General features: G+C 45.6%; 1 annotated feature.

The window, feature by feature from the left end:
- Positions 1,361-1,861: an enhancer, noted in NCBI's record as "NANOG-H3K4me1 hESC enhancer chr12:118950661-118951161 (GRCh37/hg19 assembly coordinates)". NCBI's record gives its function as "activates a minimal SCP1, AML or CMV promoter by ChIP-STARR-seq in primed H9 embryonic stem cells {active_cell/tissue: H9 hESC(primed)}" and the evidence as "EXISTENCE:reporter gene assay evidence [ECO:0000049][PMID:30033119]".

The raw sequence follows: 7,553 nt of genomic DNA, 5'->3' as shown, positions 1-7,553 counted from the left end.
AAGCATTCTAATTGGTCCATCTTGGGTCTGCAAGTGTATTTCTGGACCAATCATCTAAGGCCAAAGGTGGCATCTCTTGGAGGTAACAACAGCTCTCTTGGCATCCCTGGGATCAGAGTACCATTTGGGGGTGGGCTTTACTCAGAAGAAAAAAGGAATTTTCCAATTTGCCAGAGATAATTATTTGTCGGATAATCCTTCAATTTATTTATTTATTTATTTATTTATTTATTTATTTATTTTTGCGGAGAGAGAGAATCTCCCTCTGTTGCCCAGGCTGAAGTACAGTGGTGCAATCTCAGCTCACTGCAAGCTCCGCCTCTCTGGCTCAAGCCATTCTCCTGCCTCAGTCTCCAGAGTAGCTGGGACTACAGGTGCATGCCACAGCAATGGCTGCATTTTTGTTAGAGATGGGGTTTCACCATGTTGGCCAAGCTGGTCTCAAACTCCTGACATCAAGTGATCCACCCACCTTGGCCTCCCAAAGTGCTGGGATTACAGGCATGAGCCACTGCGCCTGGCCTAATTCCTTCAGATTCTGACAATCTTAAGATCTAAATGCCAGATAAAATGTTTATGCTTGAAAATGGCTAATAGCATGACTTTCAACAACAATGATATGCTTAGCAAGGGCTAGCACCATTCTGCAGGTATAAAGCCCTACATGGTAGCATTCTGTGCCCATCAGGGCTTAGCAGAGGAATGGATTTGAGGATAAAGCAGACCTCCACACCCCTCACCACCAGCCTCTCATCTCCAGACTTGCACTCCCAGCCCCACTGTCAAAGAACACAGTGACCCCATGGGACATACATGTGAGACTACAGATGACTTTTCCATCGCCAGCTCAGCTGAAGTGCATTTCTCTGCATCACACAGAGATGGCCCTGGCTGTATCAGCACAGCTCTCGCTTGAGCCACAGATGGCAAATGGAATGCTCATCCCCGCCCCTTGCTCCCTGGCCCGGCTGCTTGCACATTCCTTGACAATAATGCTGGTTCAGAAGCTGGCACTTGGAGCCAACCCTTGCTAGGCACAGCAGGGTGGGCAAGGCAGAAGGAAAGCTGGCAAGGAGGGAAATAGGGGCTATTTATTTTATGCTGGCCCCTGCAGCCTGGAAGGTACCATGAAGATTGGGCAGCAAGACTGCAGCAGATGACAGAGCTTTATCAGGTAAGGGGTCGCAGTGGGGAGCACAGGAAAATTACAGCCCCACTTGCCAAGTCTCAGGGACACCTGCATCTAATTTAACATAAGGAAGACGTTATGGAAAAGGGTTGCTGCCTCCCCCAGATGCAGACTCCTACTAAATCTAGTCTATTCCATCTCCTAAACCTCTCTCCAACTTATTCCCTTCCCTCCATCCCCACCCCAGCTGCTCTAAGCCACCACCATCTCTTGCCTGGAGAGCTGCAATTGCTTCCCAAAGGCTCCATCAGTATTCACTCTGGCCAGAACAGTTCATTCTCTATCCGGTGACCAGAGTGATCTTTCTAAGTTGCAGGTGTGATGACACCTCACTTCTACTTTGGCTCCCCAAGGGGTAGAGTCCAAAATCTTTCACACCAGCTCGTAAGAGCCTTCACAAACCGATCTTGGCCCACTCCAACAGCTTTAAGCATCAAAGATGGTTGGGGTGTGTAGCAGATGAATTGGTGCCCCACCTGATCCCCTCGCCTTTATCACACTGGCCCAACTTCCAATGGCCAGCACCTGCTTTCATTTGTCTGATGGCTTTCACTGGCAATTGTAGCCCACTTTGTTACGCGTGGCAGGATGAAAGTGCCAGGGAATCAATGCCCTCTAGGAGCAGGACTCAAACAATGATTGATGGAAGAGGGAGTATAAACACCCCAGCTCCCTCGCCCTTTGGGTGGGATAACGGGTGCATGTTGACACTGGCTCCCAGAATTACCCAGTTGCCCACAGTCATTGATAAACTCACCCTTTCCTGGCTCCTTCTTGTCTCTCATTCTCTTGTTCCTCAACTGCTATTCAGGATCACTTCTTAGATAAAACTCTTGATGGCCAGGTGTGGTGGCTCACCACTGTAATCTTAGCACTTTGAGAGGCCAAGGCAGGCACATTGCTTGAGCCTAGGAGTTTGAGACCAGCCTGGACAACATGGCAAAACCCCAGCCCTACAAAAATTTTAAAAATTAACCAGGCATGGTGGTGCACACCTGTAGTCCCAGCTACTTGAGAGGATGAGGTGGGAGGATTGCTTGAGCCCAGGAGACTGAGGCTGCAGTGAGCCATGATTGCACCACTGCACTCCAGCCTGGGTGACAGAAAGAGACCCTATCTCAAAACAGACAAACTCTTGCATTCAAATCCTTATCTCAGGGTCTTCTTTGGAAAGATCCCTGAAAAAGCAAGTATTTTCCAAAACCAGGTTATCCAGCTATGCATGTACTTACACATATTAGTGATAAATATGCCATGATATCTGCCATGATATCATGATCACGCATCATGATATGTATGTATTTATATATATTAGCAATAAATATGCCATGATATCTGCAGCCTCTGGACTTGTACACAAGTTTCCTCTACGTAGCATGACCTCCCCCTGCCATCCCATCTTCTGGATAGATCTTACTCTACTTTTAGCTCTATCTGTAGCTTAGATTTACATTCTTGGGTAGAACTCTCACCTTACCCAGACATCTCCTGCACACCCCCCACTACACACACAAGTTCTGTTTCCCTTGGAATTTGCTCCCCTCACACTCCAGTTTTCTTTTTCTTTTTTTTTTTTTTTTTTTTGAGATGGAGTCTCACTCTGTCACCCAGGCTGGAGTGCAGTGGCACAATCTCGGCTCACTGCAACCTCAGCCTCCCAGGTTCAAGCGATTCTCCTGCCTCAGCCTCCCGAGTAGCTGGAATTACAGGCATGTGCCACCATGCCTGGCTAAGTTTTGTATTTTTAGTAGAGACAGAGTTTCGACATGTTGGTCAGGCTGGTCTTGAACTCCTGACCTCAGGTGATTCACCCATCTTGGCCTCCCAAAGTGCTGCACCCAGCCTAGTTCTTTCATTGTGCTTATTGCACCTGTAATTATGTGTTCAGAGCCTGTGTTCCCCATCAAAATGTAAGCCCCATGACAACAGGGATTGTGTTTGTGGGCTCATTTCTGTATCCCCAGAGTGGAGTACAATACAGATGTTCAACAGAGAGTTGAATAAATGGTGCTTTAACTTCAAAAAAAATAGAAAAAGAGAAAAGGTGTAATATCACACAGACATGGAAATGTTCAACACGTGCTAATTGAATAATCACAGCCACCATCACTCAGCACACCCAGTGGGCCAGGCATCCTGCCAAGGGTTTCATAAGCATCACCTCAATTAACCCTCATAGGCTGATACTGATGTTATCCCTGTTTGACAAAGGAGGAATCAGAGTGAAAGAGAGGTTAAATCCCTTGCTAAAGGGCACACAGTAGCAACAGGCAGAGCTGGGATTTGAACCCAGAGAGTCTGGCACGCAGTGCACATATTTACCTGCAAGTTTCTCCTACCTCTTTCCCCACTGGAATGATGCTCCAGTTGTAGAGCTCTTCACAGCACCTGGATGAAGCCTTCTCCCCCTCCAAGGGCATGAAGTGAAGAATCACTGGGGATTTCACAAACCTGATGGCATTCATTCATTCAACCAGTTATTTCTAAAGCACCTACTATGCACCAGGCACAAGGAAAGAGGGGTAAATAAGATAGACACTGTTCCTGCCCTCCCCAAGCTTACATTCTAGTAAAAGAGACAGACACTGAATGAACAAACTTGCAAACAGGCATATAATGGGCAGTTGTAAACACTATGAAGACAATGGGGATGGGAGGTACCTGACTTAAATAGGTCAGAGACAATTTTAAGTGAATACCTGAAAAATGAGAATTCGACCACTCTGGAGGAAGCAGGGCAGAACATTTCCCATCAGACAGTAGGAAATGATGGATGCTATTCTAGATACAGTGGGAAGCCATTGGCAGCGGGGGGTGATATGGTTTTGCTGTGTCCCCACCCAAATTTCGTCTTGAATTGTAGCTCCCATAATTCCCACATGTCATGGGAAGTACCCAGTGGGAGGAAACTGAATCATGGCAGCAGGTTTTCCCATGCCGTTCTCATGATAGTGAATAAGTCTCATGAGATCTGATGGTTATAACAGGCAGTTCCCCTGCACACACTCTCTTACCTGCTGCCATGTAAGACATGACTTTGCTCCTCCTTGGCCTTCTGCCATGATTGTGAGGCCTCCCCAGCCATGTGGAATTGTGAGTCCATTAAACTGCCAGCAGTTGCCCATGAGACAGGAAAGCGCCTACAGGAGCCCCTGACCACCTGGCTCTGAGCCTGCTGCCTAGAGCCATATGTCCTCACCAATATCCAGCAAATGCTGCAGTTCTGTATGTCCGGTTTATCTGGTTCATCTCAGCCCGGACTAAGGAAACCTCAACCACAACCAAAAAACATCCCGCGTAGAAAAGGAATTAGGATGTCACCAGGCACCACCAAAAGTGACAGGGAGAAGAATGCAGGCCTGAAATATCCACTGAGTACAACCTTGTTCTGTTTAAGCGGCTCTCCTCTCATTCTCTGCCTCATTTAACTCTTTCACATACGTTATCTCATTCTGTCTTCAAGAGGATGCAGGTAGGTGCATATCATTCTACCCATTCCCACAGATGGGTAAACTGAGGCTTAGCAAAGTGAAGCGAACTGCCAGCTCAGAGCCAGGTTCTGAAGACAGGGCCCTCTCAGCCCAAGTCCAACAGCACTTCTGTCACCACTCAATGGCTTGCTGTGAAAACCTTCTTAGAAGCTTGCTTTTTGTTGATTTTGTTCTGTGTGCATTTTTACCATCTCAGTATCAGCCAAGAGCTGGTGGGGGAGGAAGGCGAAGGACAGTGGGAAAAGCAAGAAGGCTTAAATGCATCAAGGGCATGATCCTAAGAAACTGATTTGAATTGAATAGAAATTGGTTTCCCGTTATCCTTGCAGCTACAATATTTGCAATTTAGGTCCTGACACCAAACACTGCCACTGTTTTTCTGGTCAAATCTCCTTCCTAGGAAGATAACCATTTAAAAAATTCTCTGTAACCCATCAGGCAGACCAAGTTCCTCTAAAAGACACATACTGCTGCCCAAGTCCACACAAAATTCCAACCCCAGTATGCGAAGCACCACCACATTTACATGGGGCCAGGAAGTAAGATAAATACACAAAGCCTTGTATGGAGCCAAAAAGAAAGAGAAAGGTAGTGAGACCCGAATCCGTGCCTCCCCACCCATACCCTTGCTGAGGGACTCTGCCCCTAATCACAGGCCCTGCTGTCCTGTTTGCCTTAAGAATGATATTCAGCCATTACAAATACAACCATTCTTCAGGCTCAGATACTGAAATCCTTTGAACACAGGACCTCTCTGAGTGTCCTTAAGAAGCTCCATCAAAAACAATAAAATGTGTCATCTCACCCACCAAAGCCCATATGCAAAGAGAGTTTCAGATCCAGTTGATTCAGCTGCTCCAAAGGACCCAGGTTGTTTGTTTGTTTGTTTGTTTGCTTGCTTGTTTTGAGAGAGTCTTACTCTGTCACCCAGGCTGGAGTGCAGTAGCACGATCTTGGCTCACTGCTATCTCCGTCTCCCAGGTTCAAACAATTCTCATGCCTCAGCCTCCAGAGTAGCTGGGATTTTACAGGCACGCACCCCGACGCCCAGCTAATTTTTGTATTTTGATTCGAGATGGGGGTTTTGCCATGTTGGCCAGGCTGGTCTCAAACTCCTGACCTCAGGTGATCCACCTGCCTCAGCCTCCAAAAGTGCTGGGATTACAGGCATAAGCCACCGTACCCAGCCAGAACCCAGGTTCTTGCTGTTCCTCTGCTCTGCCATCCATGGTGCAGACTTCACTCTGAGTCTGATTTTCCGCATGGTCGTATGGATGTCAGTGGCACTTGCTGCTAATGCTTTCCTTTTTCAATCTAAGTCTAAGAGAACCTCTCCCGAAATAACAGACACTAAGTCCTTTCCATTAGTCTATTTAAACCAGCTAGAGTCTTGTCACTATGTCTGAATCATTAACAGTCACCAGGGAGATGCCCTACCTGGGACAGTCAGCAATGCCTGAAGACATTTTTGGTTGTAGCAACTTGGAGAGAAGGGAGTGGGTGCTACTGGCATTGAGTGCAGAGAGGCCCGGGATGCTGTTAAATATCCTGCAATGCACAGGACAGCCCCACCATGAAGAATTATCCATCCAAAATGCAATACTGAGCTTGAGAAACCTTGGCTTAGATTAACCTACATTGGGGTTAGCAAACTACAATCCACAGACCAGATGTAGCCCACTGGCCTGTTTTCGTAAATAAAGTGTCACCAGAATGCAGCCACACACTCATTTGCAAGTTGTCTATGACTGCTTTCGTTGTGATACAGACCATTTGCCTTCACTCCTAAAGCTTAAAATATTTACTCTCTGGCCTTTTTCTGAAAAAGTTAGCTGACCCCTCGCCTAGGTCTACCCTTAAAGCTGGGGTTGGAGAGAATATGTGAACAAAATTAGGGTTCTGTTAGGAAAGAGGGAAAAATTGGTGTTGGGAAGTAACAAACAGTAAACATGACCAAGAGAAAGTCTATTTCTAAAGACCTCACTGTATCCCATAGCTCTCAGCAAGGACCTTACAATGAAACCATACTTCTACTTAAAGGACTTGTACAAAAATTAGGCAGCCAGATAGGAAAAATAAGTTCTAGTATTCTTTATCACTGTAGGATGACTATAGTTGACAATAAAATATTCATAGTTTCAAAACAGCTAGAAGAAAGATATTGACTGTTCCCACACAAAAAAATAATAAATATTTGAGATGTTGTACATGCTAATTACCCTAATCTGATCACTATGTGTTATATGTATCAAAACATCCACTAGGTACCCCATGAATACATACAATTATCATTTGTCCATTTAAAAATTAAAATAAAGTTTAATTAAAAGATGGGAAAAATAAACTAGGAATTTAGGCCTTACACAACTTTTAAGTTACTAGGAGCCATGAAGACCCCGAACTCTCACCCAATAATTAAGATTTTTGACTCCTACTACAAAGAGACAGAAATGATTATCAGAGCAGTAGGTCCTGAGCCCATAAAAGTCAGGCCTGGTGTTGGCTCTATGGAAGGCCAAAGCCACACTGAAATCAACGGAGCGAAAAAAGGAAGAGTAGCAAGGAAGTTACTTAGCAGAGAAAATCACAGGATGGAAGGAGAGAGGCACAAAAACCAAGCATCCCCAGAGGGACAAAGAAACATGGCTGCTTGCAATGATTGATCCCATGATGCTTTGCAGTTCCATGAGATTTCACAGCACCTTTTCAGTAAGTTCTTTTCCTGAACAAGTCCAAATGGGTTTCTGTTCCTTGGAATCAAAAGATCCTTGAGGAAGATGAGACCCACTGAATCACTGGACGCCCTCTGTGTTAGTCCATTCTCATACATTCTCATATTGCTATAAAGAAGCGCTTGAGAATGGGTAATTTAT

The sequence above is a fragment of the Homo sapiens genome, chromosome 12 (genome assembly GCF_000001405.40).
Source record: "Homo sapiens chromosome 12, GRCh38.p14 Primary Assembly".
Classification (NCBI taxonomy): domain Eukaryota; kingdom Metazoa; phylum Chordata; class Mammalia; order Primates; family Hominidae; genus Homo; species Homo sapiens.
Note: the sequence above shows the minus strand (reverse complement) of the source record. Positions and strands in the feature narration are given on the sequence as shown.